The 16,388-nt window shown below is 47.0% G+C and overlaps 2 annotated features.

The window, feature by feature from the left end:
• Positions 4,316 to 4,871: an enhancer, noted in NCBI's record as "H3K27ac-H3K4me1 hESC enhancer chr2:65165275-65165830 (GRCh37/hg19 assembly coordinates)". NCBI's record gives its function as "activates a minimal SCP1, AML or CMV promoter by ChIP-STARR-seq in primed H9 embryonic stem cells {active_cell/tissue: H9 hESC(primed)}" and the evidence as "EXISTENCE:reporter gene assay evidence [ECO:0000049][PMID:30033119]".
• Positions 12,597 to 12,836: an enhancer, noted in NCBI's record as "active region_15920". NCBI's record gives its function as "activates an Ori minimal core promoter by ATAC-STARR-seq in GM12878 lymphoblastoid cells {active_cell/tissue: GM12878}" and the evidence as "EXISTENCE:reporter gene assay evidence [ECO:0000049][PMID:35858748]".

The raw sequence follows: 16,388 nt of genomic DNA on the forward strand, positions 1-16,388 counted from the left end.
CACACAGACAAGAGAGATGCTTCTTCATGTATCAGAACCTTGGGTCAGGGATGACCTTTGAGACTTGTATGTCGATCTGAAGAAGAAATTGTTTTTAAAAAGCTGAAAAGCACAGATCGATACAATAATGGGCAGGTCTTATTTTAGTTAGTATCTGTTTCAATTCAGTCTCTACTTTGCTGCCCAGGGCTGTGTGTATGCCACTAACCTTTCCCAGGGAGTGCTGGTCAACCAGGAGAGCAGGCTGGATGTTGTAGGGGAGCCCTGCCTCTCCAGGCAGCAGCAGGTAGGTCAAGACTCAGACAGCCTCTCTTCCAAGCCTGGCTTCCTGGATCTTTGTCCAACCCTAACGTGTGATGGGAGGTACACAATGCAAAAATAACCAAAGAGACCTAACTGGGTTGCTGCTGAAAACAAGGGCTTTTTCATATGAAGATGTCACATTAAGGAAAGAATACCATGCAAGCTGATAGACGACTGTTCCGCAGGAAGGTGGAACCAAGGTGGTCCCTGCTTGTCCATGCATGGGGCACCATCTCTTGGTGTTTCTAGAGTAATGAATAAATGTTCTTGTATTCCAGTGAGTTTCCTAGTGGATAGTTCACTGACCTGTTTATTTGCAGGCCTAGATTCTTCTGTGTAAAAATGGAGACTTCATTTTGCCCTTGGCTTGAACTGGTGCTCAATACCCACAAGTCCTACATGATTCTGTCTACAAACTCGGTGGCGGTTGTTGGTGTAGTCCACCAAGTGTTTTTAGTACTCCACCTGGAACATGGAAAGATTATACTTCCTCCCCCCTTGAAGTTGGGTGTGGCCACATCATTTGCATTGGTGAGCGAAGGTGAATGGAACTGAGGTGTGTCACTGCCAGACAGGAGCTAGTGCAAGATTCATTCATCTTGCTCATTCTGGCAAAGCAACCAGCAACAATGGAGGCAGGGAAGCTCCATCAGCTTGAGTGACTCTGAGTGATATCTTGACATCACTCTGAGTGACTCTGACAAGCACAGCCTCCTTGTGGACTCCTAACGGACATGCAGCATGAGAAATAAATCTTTGTTCCTTTAAGCCACTATAATATTGGGATTATCTGTTACTGATACATAATCTAGTCAATGCTAACTGACACAAACTCCTGCTCCCTCCAAGAATGGTACCACCCCATACCTCAGTAATTAATAATCCACTGTTTTCCTCTAATTCATCACTATTTCATGCATTTTAGGTTTGTGCCTACAACTGAACTGTTTGAAACCAAGCCTCACATGTTATGCTTCCATATCCTTCACAATAGTAGAGTGTAATGGCTAAGTGCACTGGGTTTAGAGTCTAGCAGAACTGGGTCCAAACCCAGACCTATTCAGTGTGACCTTGGCCAAGTGATTTAACCTAGAGGAGCCTCGGTTTCCTTATTCCTAAAATGGGGATAACAAGGCAGCCATCCTAGGATTGCCAGGAGCTTGGGATTTATTAGATCCCTGGGACTTAGCAAGAAGCCTGACGCAAAGTACGAGCCTAATGGTTTAACTTCAACAGTGCTGAACACACATGAGGTGCTGACTTGCTGTGTGATTGGTGCCTCCTTTTGATGAGCAGAGTCTTCCAACTTTGGGCCCACAACCATAGCAACTTATAAGTCCCCCCTTAGAACTAATAAGCCCTCAGATATTTGGAGACAGCTCTCATGAGTACCATTCAGACATATTCTTGTAAAATAACATCATCAATCAAAACCACAATGAGATACCACTTCATATCTACTAGGATGGCCACAATGAAAAAGACAGACAATAACAGGTGTTGGCGAGGATATGGAGAAAGTTGAACCCTCATACGCTGCTGGGAGAATGTAAAATCATGAAGAAGTTTTGACAAACAGTCTGGCAGTTCCTTCAGCAGTTAAGCTTAGAGTTATCATATGATATAGTTTGGATGTTTGTTCCTTGCAAATCTCATGTTGAAATTTGATCCTGGTGTTGGAGGTGGGGCCTGGTGGGAGGCGTTTGGGTCATGGGGGCGGATCCCTCATGAATTGCTTGGTACCCTCCCCATGGTAATGGGCAAGTTCTCACTCTATTAGTTAAGGCAAGATCTGTTTGCTAAAAAACAGCCTGGCACCTCCTCGTCTCTCCTGCTCACTGTCTCACCATGTGACATACCTGCTCCCCCTCCACCTTCTGCCATGAGTAAAAGCTTCCTGAGGCCTCACCAGAAGCTGAGCAGATGCCAGTGCTATGCTTGTATAGACTGCAGAACTGTGGGCCAAATAAACCTCTTTTCTTTATAAATTACCCAGCCTCAGGTATTTCTTTATAGCAATGCAAAACAGATTAACATACCATATAGTATAGCCCAGCACTTCCACTCCTAAGTATGTACCCAAGAGAAATGAAAACGTTTCCACACAAAAACTCACATATGAAAGTTCATGGAAGAATTATCCGTAATAGCCAAACAGAAAAAAAAACAACTCAAATGTCCATCAACTGATGAATGGTTAAACAAAATGTGATACATCCATGCAATGGAATATTATTTGGCCATAAAAAGAATAACACAAGCTAGAATACGGATGAATCTTGAAAACATTATGCTAAGTGAAAGAAGCCGGAAACAAATGTTCCCATGTTGCATGACTCCATTTATATGAAACGTCCAGAATAGGCAGGTCCACAGAGACAGAAGGTTGTTTGCTGGGGGCTAGTGCTGTGGGATCAGGAATTAGGGAGTAATGGCTAAAGGGTGTGGGGTTTCTTTATGGGGTAATGAAAATGTTCTGGAATTCATGGTGATAGTTACAGAACTCCATGGATATACTTTTAAAAACCCCTCTGATTCGTACATTTTTAAAAGATGGTTTTATGGTATGTGAATTATATCTCAATTAAAAAATATATATCCTCTTCCACAAAAGCACAGGTGGGTACCTGTCCGCATGGAAAACTTTTCTTAGGGCAGGACATTAAGACATTCATGCAGCATGTGTCTTTAGAAACTTACAACAAAAGGTGGCAATGAGTTCTGCCCTCACCTGTGAAAGGTAAACATCCTTTCTCCAGAAGAGCCTGCTAGCCAGGAAGGGCAGCTTGGAGCCTCTCACAAAAAGTCTGCAAGGAGCAGCCCAGTCCTGACTTCTCTGGGCACCTGGGAGTTGGATTCAGCATTCTGTGCAAACACACACACTTGGCCAGAAAGTCCTGAAGCCAGTTTCTTGTATGGACAACAGAGGAAGGTGCGAGGAGTGCTGGAAGTGAGGGGCCTGAAGGAGGACACAGCCAAATAAGATGAGACTTAGCTACACTGAGGTTGTCCCTGTAAGTCAATGGTGACCACTCTAAGGATAAGCCAGTAAGTCAGTGGCCAGCTTTCCCACTCTGCATATTTCTCTTACATTCCAGGTGACATCACCTGGGGTAGCAGACAACACCAGTTGCCAGTAGTTCTCAAAGAATGGTCCCTGGTCACTGGCATCACTGGGAAACCGGTGAGGGAGGAAACTGAGAGGAGGAGCAAAATCTCAGTTTGAACAAGCCCTCCAGGCAACTCCAGTGCACGCAAAGTTTGAAAACCACTGGCCTGAGGTGGGCAGATCACTTGAGGTCAGGAGTTTGAGACCAGCCTGGCCAAAATGGTGAAACCCCATCTCTACTAAAAATACCAAATAGCTGAGCATGATGGCCGTAATCCCAGCTACTCATGGGCTGAGGCAGGAGAATCGCTTGAACACAGGAGGCGGAGGTTGCAGTGAGCTGAGATCATGCCACTGCACCCCAGCCCAGGTGACAGAGCTAGGCTCCATGGCAAATAAAGAAAAAAAGAAAAACCACTGGCTTACACTCTGGCCGTGGTCACCTCTCTTCCTCATTATCAGAACCCTGGCTTTGCTTGGGAAAGTGGGAATCAGGACCACATGCTCAGGACAGAAGAGAGACAGACAGGGACTCAGGGCCACTGAGAGCACAGAGCTGCTGCACCTGCCCTGACCCACACACCTCTAGTCTAGGCTTGTGCGGTTGGGAAACTTAAACCCCTAATTTGCTGAAGCTGCTATTTTCAGATTCCTGCTATTTACAACTGAATCCATTCTCTACCAGTGAACCTGGGGACAGGAAGTTCTGAAAACACCAGGTTTGTCCTGGTTGGAGAAGTGTGGGATTTTTCTCTTGCAGGAACCAAGCACATGGGCTGTCGTACACGCGAGGGGCCAGGGTTCAGAGCTAGATTTCTGGTTTCAGTTTCTCTGCAGGGCTGGGGCAGGCCAGCTGGGCCAGGCCATGGGTGAAGTGGGCGGGCTCTGACCAGAGTGCCAGGGGTGCCATCCCGGGTGCCCACGCCCTGCCCCCCTGCTTCAGCCTTAGCTGCTTTCTCCCAGGACCTGGCAGTTGACAACTCTCCCATGACAAAAAGTCTGCGCCTGGGTGGCTCCAGGGTCAGTTCAGTGACTCAATAACATGAAGCACGCTGGCTTTTTATTTTTATTTTTGTATTTTTTTGAGACGGAGTTTCGCTCTTGTTGCCCAGGCTGTAGTGCAATGGCGCAATCTTGGCTCATGCAAACTCCACCTCCTGGATTCAAGCAATTCTCCTGCCTCAGCCTCTCGAGTAGCTAGGATTACAGGCATGCACCACTATGCCCAGCTAATTTTGTATTTTTAGTAGAGACAAGGTTTCACCATGTTGGTCAGGCTGGTCTTGGACTCCTGACCTCAGGTGATGTGCTTGCCTTGGCCTCCGAAAGTGCTGGGATTACCGGCGTGAGCCACCACACCCAGCCCCTAGCTTTTTATTTTAATTCATTAATTAATTCAATAAAGATTTGTTGAATACCTATTAGATGCCAGGTGCTGCTCTAGGTGTTGGGGAATGGACCAGGGTGCTGCTCTCTGGAAGTTCACATTTGTGCATGTGTGAGAGTGATTGCGGGTCAGCATGTGAGTGAGAGAGTGTGTGTGCATGTATCAGGGAGCGTGAGTGCATATGAGTGTGAGAGTTTGTGTGTGAGTGCATGTGCGTATGAGGAAGTGTAAGAGTTTGTGTGTGAGAATAAACAAGTCCTTAAAGTGTAAAGTGCTAATATGCACTCTGAAAAACAATAAGGCAGGAAAAGGGAATAGAACGATTAAGAAAGGGGTGCATTAGAAAGAGAGTGGTCAGAGGATGCCTCTCCAAGGTGGTGACATTTACACAGGGAGCTGAAGCAAGTGGGTGAACAGGCCAGGTGTGGGCTGAGATCACTCCAGGCTGAGAGCATCCCAGGTGAAGCAGAACAGCTAGCGCAGAGGCCATGAGGCTGGAGCGTGCTGGAAACATTCAAGGATCAACAAGGAAGCCAGAGGTTGGCTTGGAGGGAGGGAGGGGGAGAGTAAAAGGATGAGATCAAAGAGGCAGTGGGGAGTCAGATCACATGGGGCTTTATGGATGTGGAATTTTATTCGTGGAGAGGGAGGGAGTCATCAGTGGGTTTTGAGGAGAGGAGCAATGAGTTCTGACTTCCAAACAGAGTCATCCTCACTACTGTGCACAGAACAGCCTGAGGGACGCCCACCATCCTCTGCTCCGCCATCCTCAGTGTTTTCACTTTACCTTTAGACTTCTGTCCTCCAGGTCACAGGATGGTTGCCATGGCTCCAAATGTGACACGTACACCTCACTCACGTCCAGGCTGCTGAGATCCGCAGATAAAACCAGATCACACCACAGATTTATGTTACTGTGAATTCACTGACCCCAGCCTCACTCCGCTCTCAACATTGCCTAGAAAACCTCCTCTATTTCCCCGGCAAGATTGTGCCCTTTCTCCACAGCAGCTATTTCCAATTATCATCATTTTCTTCAAACCTACAATACCACTACTCTCCCCTCAGTAGATGGTCAAGCTCTTATTTCGCAGAAAAAACAGAAACCATTAGGTGGAAATCCCCTCAGCTGCCACCAAACCTATCAGGAGGATCTTGTCGGCATCTGCCTCATCGCTCCTGCTTCCTCCGTGAGAGGCAGCCCTCGCAGGTGTAGAGGCAGTCCCATACCACCCCCTCCAGCACATTCTCAGGGATGCATCCTATTGCTCACCTCCTCTTTCCCTCCTGTGTTTTCAACATCTCCCTTCTCTACTGGCTTCTTCCCATCTTTTCCCCAGTCTTAAAAAGAAATAAACAAACAAATGCTAAGTTAGAGACACCAAGCACAAAAGGTCACACACTGTAGGATTCCATTTATTTTTTATTTTCAATATTTATTTTTTTGAATTTTAGTAGAGATGAGGTCTCGCTTGAACTGAGGTTAAGTGATCCTCCCGCCTCAACCTCCCTGCGTGCTGGGACTACAGGTGTGACCCACCACACCCAGCCAGGATTCCATTTATATGAAATATTCAGTACAGGTAAATCCATAAAGACAGCAGATTAGTGGTTGCCTGGGGCTGAGGGGAGGGGGATGGGGAGTGACTGCTTATTGTGTATGGAATCTTTTTTGCAGATGATGAAATGTTTTGGAACCAGAGAGAAGCGATGGCTGCACAACACTGTGAATGTACTCAATGCCACTGTACGCTTTAAAATGGCTAATTTTGACTGGGCGCGGTAGCTGGCACCTGCAATCCCAGCACTTTGGGAGGCCGAGGCGGGCTGATCACTTGAGGTCAGGAGTCTGAGACCAGCCTGGCCAACATGGCAAAACTCCATCTTTACTATACATACAAAAATTACCCGAGTGTGGTGGCAGGCGCCTGTAATCCCAGCTACTCAGGAGGCTGAGGCAGAAGAATCGCTTAAACCTGGGAGGCAGAGGTTGCAGTGAGCAGGGATCAAGTGGGGGCTGCACTCCAGCCTGGGTGACAGAGTAAGACTCTGTCAAATAACATAACAAACATAACATAACATAACATAACATAAAATATTTAATTTTATGTTATGCAAATTTCACCTCAATAATAATAAGAAACAGACTCACAATGTCATATTGTCTTCAGACACCTCAAACCTAATATGCTTAAAATTCAGCTCACCAACTGGCTCCTCACTCCCTATTTCAGTCAGTGGTGTCAGGTCCACAATGTGTGGCCATACAGGTTGTAGCCTGCACAGAGGCCTCTAGCCAGGAGGAGTGTGGGAGACAGAATCCAGCCTATGCCACTCATAGGATGTCACCTTGGCAATAGCTACTCCTGCTCAGCAGGCCCTGTTTCTAACTCTCACAAAGGTACCTTAAGGGCTGGAAGTGGACTGGAAATAGAATTGCATGGCCCACCATTGTCGTGCGAGGCAGACACCTGAGCCTCATTCTTGACTTTTCTTTGAGCACACAGAACCATCACCCACACCATCCAGTCAGTTACTAAGTCTTGTCAATTCTTCTTTCTGTCCTCCTCCCTCCAATGCCACCAACCTGACTGGGCCACCATTATCTCTCACCTGCAAAGGTGGAGAACGCAGATTTCCCATCCCTGTGCTTCTAGAGCTAACACGGCCAACTCACCTGGGGTGAGAGGTGTCCATGTTCCTCCATTAGGTGGAGCTCAGCAATGGAAAGACCATGATAAGTGCCGGGGACTCAGCCTCTTCTTCCCCTCCTCATCCTGGCCAGAGGAAGGCAGTGATTCTCCAGAGAAGACCCAGATGGATGCCTGGGTGGCTGCCCAAGGCCTAGACTGGAGGGAACCATTGGGCAGGGAGTGACTGGAAACCCATTTGGCCCTCACAACAAAGGCACATTTGCTAACTGCTTATTCAGGAATAAAGGTGAGGTTTGACTTCCACGAGGAGGCCATCTGTGTCTATTTCTCAAACTGCTTTCACAGTGAGAATGAAAACAAATAATAATAATAATAACAATAATAATAAAGGGAGCCTGGATTACTAGTCTAGACTTTTCAAAAGGTTTTCTTTTCCATGTTCTACATAATAGCCAAAGTGATCCTTCTGACATGCAAATCCAATCATTCTGTTTCCCCTGAACAAAACCATATCCTGGCATCTCATTGCCTTCATGATAAAATCCAACTCTTTAACAGGGCCTGAAGTACCCTTGGTGATCTGGTCCATGTTTAGCTCTCCAGACTCAATTCTCACCACTTCCTTCCTTGCCCTCTCTGCTTGTTGGGCAGCCATGGAATTGCACCATCGAGGTCTCCGGCTGCAGGGAGCAGTCAAGTGACAGCCACAGTTCCCGCCCTTCAGGATCCCTCACTGCATCCCTCCAAAGCCACACGTCCCCTGAGCTAATTCCAGCCAAAGGCTGAGCATAACACGGCACTAGCTTCTGCCTGATGGGGAATTCCTCTGAGGGCCAGCTTTGGCTCAGGGACTCCCCATCTGCCTGGCCAAAACCTTCTTAGAACCATGCTGCAGTCTGAGACTTTCCTCTCCAATCATCCTTCCTGCCCTGGCTCCTTCCATGGGGTCAGACCCACATCATGATTCAGAAGCTCCAGCAGAAAGCTCTTCCTTTCGCTGCCTGCTCCTCCTGCTCTGTTAATGAACATGCCTGTCATACAGAACTACCTCCCATCATGTTCTGCTCTCCTCCCCTGGTTTTGTACATGCTGCTCCCTCTGCCTGGAAGATTCTCTCTTCTCTCCCTGACCCTTTCCCTGGTCAATCTCTATGCATCCTACAGGATCTAGCTTAGTGGTCACTTTGTTCACCCAAGACAGGCATTGATGGCTCACCGTGGCCCAGGCATTGTTCTGGGAGTGCACTGGGGATGCAATAAGGAATACAAAATAGGTAAAGCCCCTGCGTTCACCAAGCTTACTTTGTGGTGGGTAAATGGTCAATAAACATATTTTTCAAAACAGATCCACAATCCGCTGGTAGAAAAGATCAGTACTGTAAAGAGAATAAAGCAGCATGAGGGCATGGAATGGAATGATAAAGGCGGCAGGGTGGGTAGGGATTGTTTTAGACAGAAAGATTGGAGAAGGCTCCTTGTGGAGGTGATGCCTGAGCAGAGTCCTGAATAACATGAATGAGTGGGTCATGGAGCCATCTGGGGGAAGCTCTTTCCAGGCCAGGGGAAGGCATCCAGACAGCAGAGGGCAGCTGCAGTGGCCTGCCGCCCATGGCTCTGGGGTGGGTGCCCCTCCTGTGGGCTCCTGCAGCCACTCTTGCTTCCCTAGCAGAGGGCATATGTACTAGTTAAGGGAAACTGGTTGACTGGTCTGCCTCTCCTTCAGACAGCCACCCGGTGAGGACAGGACACTTGCTCGTCAGCCTAACTGGTTAGTACCCTATCCCCTGAGCCTTGCACAGCTCTCGACATGCAGTAAGTTCTGATGGCTGAATGCGTAATTACAATAATAGCTGTCCGTTCATGGAGCACTTACGGTGTGCCTGGCTCTGTGCTGAAGGTTTCACTCATACTTTCTCACTTAGTATTCCTAACAGCAAAGTAGGTAGCATTATCATCCCCAGGTATACGGCCACAATAGGCTATTCACACTTTCTCTGCCAGGCCCAAGGAAACAGGCACAGAGAATTTAAATCACGTATCATGGCTCTACAGCTGAAAAGTGTATTTCAAGATGTATAAAGGCTGGGTGTGGTGGCTCACACCTATAATCCCAGCACTTTGGGAGTCTGAGGTGGGAGGCTTGCTAGAGGCCAGGAATTCAAGACCAGCCTGGGCAAGATAGTGAGACTCTGTCTTTACAAAAAAAAAAAAAAAAAGAAAAGAAAAATTAATTAGCTGGGCGTGGTGGTACACGCCTGTGGTCCCAGCCGCTCAGGAGGCTGAGAGAGGAGGATCACTTGGGCCCAGGAGTTTGAGGCTGCAGTGAGCTTTGATCACACTCAGAGGCGTGAGGTGCCCCCAGCATGGTATGATTTAGAGGGTGGAATTCTAACAGAAGGCTCCTAGCATTTTAGTGTCAGAAGGGACATTTAGAAGATCCCATCCCATCCGCTGCACACAGGGACGCTGAGTCAGAAGGCTGAGGTGACTCTCAGGCTGCCTTACTGTTTGCTCAAGCTTAAACTTGACAACAAGGATTACAAAAGCCATTTGATCAGAGGCCTGGCACTGCTTAACTGAAATGAGAAAACATGTTGCCGTAAGGATGATTATGTAAAGGGGGGATGCGGTTCCCAGACTGGCCTTGCTCGTGTCTGCTGGAGCCCTGCCACAGTTACTCCAGCATCCTGCCCACACTGGCAAGCCCCGGCAGCCTTGGCCTGCTCTTTGCCTTAGCGTTGCCATGCTGCTTGCTTCAATGCCAACTGGCCCCATGTGCCGGCCACTCCCTGCCACTTTGGCAGTTCCTCTGGTGCTCCTGGCAGTGCCAGGCATTATGCCATGGTTCAGGCTTTCCCCACCCCTGGAGCAAAAGAAATGTGCAAAAGGCCCATCGTTCTTACCATGGGAGAGGATGCATTCAGCCCCATCATTTTACAGCAGTGAAAACTGAGTCCCGGAGGGATGACGTGACTTGCCCAAGGTTCCAAAGCTGGTTGGGGACAGAGCCTAAGCAAGACTCTTGTTCATGGTTTCTTCCTCCTTTGGGGCCTCTGCCTCCTCTCTGGCTCTCCTCTCTAGTGATCCCCATGCTGCTTCCCTCTCCAGACCAGAAAGCTGTCTTCCTGTCCTCGCCCAAGGCCCCAGCATTAGTCCCAGCCGCCATCCCTCATGCCCCATCACCTCCTCTCTCAGCCTCTGCTCTGCTCTGCTCTGCTCTTGCCCCTCCAATCCATTCTCAAAAAAATAAGCCAGGTCACATTACTTCCCTACCAAAAGCCCCTGATCACTCCCCCTCACCCAGAGGAGGGATCCTTGGCATGGCATTCTGTTCCTCCCCAGCCTAGTCCTAACTGACCTCTGCAGGTTCATTCCTAAGGCGTCCCTACACACCCCTGACATTCCAGCCACACTACTCAACTACCCCATAGGCTGCTGCGAGAATTAAATAACATCTGATAAGCCGACAGCACCTGGAGTGTAGTAAGAGCTGTCACCTGTGTGGGCTGGGCACTTCTCCACCAGACTAAATTCTAGAGCCCACCTGAGCTGGCTAGTGGGCGAGCACTGCTCTGCTCTCTGAGCCAGGACACATGTCCTTAGCTGTGACCCTGGCCAGACCCTCACCTCCCCGGGTCCAGGTTACATGCCCCAAGAAAAAAGGTACAATGAAGAACCCCTCTGCTGTCCACGATTTCTCAGGAACTTTTTCGGTTTTTGAGAAAAAAATTTGAAGTGGTTCCTATGAAATGGCCACATGGTTTATTATTAGTTCCTGGCCCTCAAGAGCAGCGGGGAGCTACTGTCCCCCTTGGGTCCCTACCGTCATAGCTGCAGGTCTCAACTTGGGGCTGGGGAAAGACACCCGGAATATTCCCCATGGGGCACAGGGGTGGAACGGGCCGTAGGTGCTCTTTGTGTTCTAGCTACTCATTCGCACAGGAGGCACTTTCAGCCTTACAGGCTAAGGCATAAGAGCCCAACTTCATGAATGCATCGTATCACATCCAGAGGTGAGCTGTGGGCAGTGAGCGGTCCCAGTCGCAGCCTCCATGATGAAGGTAGATTCCTACCTGCTCTGAAAACCTGGCAGCTGTTGGCTCATGAGGTTACCCACCTGTCCATCTGTCTATCCATCCAATCATCCATCCATTTCTCCAGGGGACATTAACTTTGCCTCTTTCCCATGTTTATTTTCTGAACAAAACCCATTGGGAGAATAAAGAAGATCAGAAAAGCAAACCAGCTCTCCAAAACTCACTTTGATTTTTCCTTTCCCCCTCCCTCTTCCCTTTTTTCCTTTCTTATACCTGGGGTACATATCGGGTGTCGTGCAAGATAAGTTACAAATAAGGATGAATTCAATTATCTCTCCTTTGTTATAGTTAATTTAGTTTCTGAAATATTTCAAACGAATGGACAAGTATGGAGAATAACATAACAGTCATAAAAGACCCATCGTCCACTCCAACGAACATTAACTTTTCACCATATTTGCTTTGAGGTTTTTGTTTTCTTAGGAAACAAAATGCCATGGGTCCAGTTGAAGTTGCCTTCCTCAACATCACTCCACCTCCTTTCTCTATGAGCTCTTCCCATCCAGTGTGGCGTCTTCCAGCAGGCTTTAGGCTTTTTACTAGGCCCCTAGGTTTAGACCCCGTAAACAATACATAGGATACCCCATAAACAACACAACATATTGTTTATGGGAGTTTTGGATTTCGGATTTTATGGGCATGATATCATACTGTGTGTCTCCTTTTGCGACTTGCTTTCTAATTTTATTGGATTCTTTAAAGTTTCATGTGTAATACATGCTGGTTATAACAAGTTCAAGCAACACAGAGATAGTAAGGAAAAGTTAATCATCTCCATCTGCCTGACTGTAATCCCACTGCCCCAGGTAACCACTGCTAACAGTTTAACAAACGTCTTTCTGCACCTTTTCTGCTGCTCACACAAACATACACAGAGGCTTCATCATAAAAGCTCATGAAATGCTGAAGAAAGAGCCAGAGAAAGTTCAGGACAGGCCAGAGAGCATTTAGGACCGGCAACATGAACAGACACGGCTCTCTGGTGCTACAGTAGTGAGAGGCAGCAGAGGAAGACGTGCAACCTCCCCTGCCGTTAACCCACATCCTGCTGGGTTTCCCCACTCACACCCCCCACGTGACAGGCCCAGTGGTCTCAGAGGTGTCCAGGGCCAGTGGTGAGCAGTGTCCTTTCTAATAAATGTCCTTAGACCTGGCAAATGGGGAGGGTCCAGGCCGTCACTCGCCGGCTAGGTGGCTGTGGCAAGTCTCTGTAGTAAAGGGGCCACGAGACCTCTGAAGTCCTTCCTGATTGATGATTGTCAATCAGATTGCTCTGGCAGAGAGATGAGCTGCTGCTGGGTCCGAGATGCGGAAGAGCCTTTGGGAAGCTAGACTGTTGTAACTCACACTCTGGCTTTAGTTGTGCCTGAGAAGGGATTCACAGATGATATGTGTTTTCTGACTGCTCCATGAACCAGGAATGAGTACACTGGATGCCAAGCAAGTTTCCAAGTGTTGGATTTTGTTTGTTTGTTTTCTTCTCTTTTTACTTTTTAAAAGTGTAATAGGACCAGACATGTTAAGCTCAGAGATGGACTGGAATGTTTTTTTGCCCTTGCCAAAAGAAAAAAAAGAATCAATCATTAGAGCTTAAGTTTTGTTTTGTTTTGTTTTGTTTTTCTTAATTAGTTTCATGTGACTGCAAAGCAGTAAGAGAAACTGAATGCAAGACTTTGGTCAGCTTCATCTGGGTGGTCTGTTCACTTGTTGACCCTTGAGGCTGTAATAGCTTGGAGAGGAGCATAAACCTTGCTGGGACTTATAAATTGAGATTTGACATGATTTCTAAAGATCTCTCCAGTTGTTAAATTCTGCAATTCTTTGTGTTTTTTTTTTCACATGTATTCATTCAATAAACTTTTTTTAAGTGCCCAGTATGCGTCAATCATTGTCCTAATATTTGGGGATATCAGTGAAAAACCAGACAAACCCCCACCCTCATGGAATGAAGAACTCCTTACACACAATCTCAAACACAAGGACTTCCACTCTTCATCAATATTCCAATAATTCAGTCATGCACCTTTCAGAGTGTATGGATCCCCATAACACCCTCATGACAATGGGCAGGACAGGTATTCCTAGTGCCCTTTTCCAAATGGGCAGACCAAGAATGACTACATGTAGGAATGGAACCTCAGAATGAATGATATTGTAGTCTCGAAGGAGACACAGCAGAGGTGAAATGCCCCAGATCTCACTTCCTGGAGCCTCAGTCCAGCTCATCTCACAGAATGGGAAAATCTGCTGTGCACATCTTCTGATTTCATGCCAATGAGAAGCTTAAGTTTCCAGATCTGATTCAAAAAGCCAGTGGTGAATTCTGAAAAATGATACTGGGGTAAGAGAGGCTAGGATTCCCGACTCCTTGAGCAAATGAAGCTCCCTACCCTGCTTCATTTGTCCATAATGTTTAAAACCCCATTTGGCATCCTTAAAGTTGAAAATAGCTCTCTCATGCTTCATTTTTCCCTTTCTTTCCTTTTCCCTGGCCTGGTATTGGCCCCAACAGCAGCAGTCTACAGCCCCTATGCAGGCCGGGGCACTGACCCCTCCTCAGGCCCCAGTAGAGGGGCAGGTGGCCATTCAATCTCTTCCATTAATGCCTTCCAATACCAGCCCAGGGATTCCCTAAATTGCCCAATGGGGCCTTTCCAGGGCCCTTAATAACTTGCCCACAGCCCTGGATCCCCTAGCTCTGGGCTCCTGGCCAATATTCTCCAAACTCTTTTCATGAGCAATGAAAGGGTTCTTTAGTGTTGCAGTCAAATGCAGGGTCTTTTCTCCCTTTTTCTTGGAGGGCTGTGAACCCTTTTCAGGCTGCTGCTGTCTCCCCAGCATGGCCCATCTATCAGAGAGTTCAGATCCCGAGTGTGCGCCCGCTGGGTGAAAAGGTGGCTTCTGTGGTGACTGGAGAGTTTGGAGCTCCCAACAAACTCTCAGGCAGCCTCAAGTTGGCAGCACAGACATAATAAATTATCTGAACCGAATCTGCTCCTAAAAATATGCTGCATAGAACATTTTAGTGTGTTCATGAACTTCATGGCAAAAAAAAAAAAAAAGAAAGAAAAAGAAAACTTTAGGATAACAAGCGTCTATATTTCATTAAAATAGAGAAAAGGGGTGGGGTGTGGTGGCTCACACCTAGCCCATTAAACCCAGCACTTTGGGAGGCCAAGGTGGAAGAACTGCTTGAGGACAGGAGTCTGAGACCAGCCTGGACAACATATATTTGTATAAATTAAAATTTTAAAAAATAAAAAATGAAAAATAAATAAAATGGAGAAAATGATAATACATTGCCAACCTATCCAAACACTCCAATCAATATCCTCTTAATCACTAAAACACTCAAAACATTTATGTAAACATCCACCAAGGAGCTCTGAACAATAGAAATCAGTGTTTCCCAGAGTATGAATCTGGACCAGCAGCATCAGCATCACTTGGGAACTTGTAAAAAACTCAGATTATCGAGGGTGGGTATGGTGGCTCACACTTGTAATCCCAGCACTTTGGGAGGCCAAGGCGGGGGGATCATTTGAGCTCAGGAGTTCGAGATCAGCCTGGGCAACATGGTGAAATTTCATCTTTACAAAAAGTACAAAAAAATTAGCCAGGCATGGTGGCACATGCCTGTGGTCCCAGCTACTCGGGAGGCTGAGGTGGGAAGATGGGTGGAGCTGGAACCTGGGAGGCAGAGGTTGCAGTGAACCAAGATCTCACCACTGCACTCCAGCATGGGCAATGGAGCCAGACCTTTTCTCAAAAAAAAAAAAAAAAAAGGAAATTCTCAGACCCCATTCTAAACCTACTAAAGCAGGGGTTTACTCTGAGATGGGGTCCAGCAATCTGAGTTTTAGCAAAACCTCCAAGAGATTCTGATGCTTGCTGAGGTCTAAGAACCACTGATATGAAACACTGAACAATTACCTAATTATTTAACATTGGGTGAAGTCATCAGTGGGTACCTTTGTGTTCAAGACACTTTCATATTGGATTGAGTTATGAGATATGAACTACATTTTACTTCTTCATCACAAAAATATAAAAATAGTGACATCACTTATTAAGAATCCACAGTGAATGCATAGAGTGCATAGAAAGAATTGCACGTACACAGGACATGTGCATGCCTATGTTCATATCACATATGATTTTGCCTCTCACAATACACTTGATCACATTCAACTTTTTTCTTTTTCTTTCTTTTGTGTGTGTGTGTGTGTGTGTGTGTGTGTGTGTGTGTGTGATGGAGTTTTGCTCTTGTTGCCCAGGCTGGAATGCAATGGCGCCATCTCTGCTCTCTGCAAACTCCGCCTCCCGGGTTCAAGCGATTCTGCTGCCTCAGCCTCCTGCGTAGCTGGGATTACAGGCACCCGCCACCATACCCGGCTAATTTTTGTATTTTTAGTAGAGACGGGGTTTTACCATGTTGGTGAGGCTGGTCTCGAACTCCTGACCTCAGGTGATCCACCCACCTTGGGTTCCCAAAGTGCTGGGATTACAGGCATGAGCCACCACACCCGGCCTCAACTTTTCTTCTAATTTATGGGGGTTGTTTAGATCTCTTAGTCTCAATTGCTTTATTCATAGGCTTTTCAACTTTCTTACAAGACATCTTCCCAATATGGCAGAACAACATAGACACGAGAGGCGCTTCTACCAGGAGGAGAGCTGAGATGTGCCTGTCGCACATCCTCCACCCTTCCACTAGGACCTGAAAGGTTGCTGGAGAGCAGATTATAATAGTGTTTTGATTCATATAGCACATTTTTTTCTTTTCTTTTTTAAGCTACCAATTCTTGAGCCTGCATCACATAGCAAATTTTAAGTAAA

Source organism: Homo sapiens, chromosome 2 (assembly GCF_000001405.40).
Source record: "Homo sapiens chromosome 2, GRCh38.p14 Primary Assembly".
Classification (NCBI taxonomy): Eukaryota; Metazoa; Chordata; class Mammalia; order Primates; family Hominidae; genus Homo; species Homo sapiens.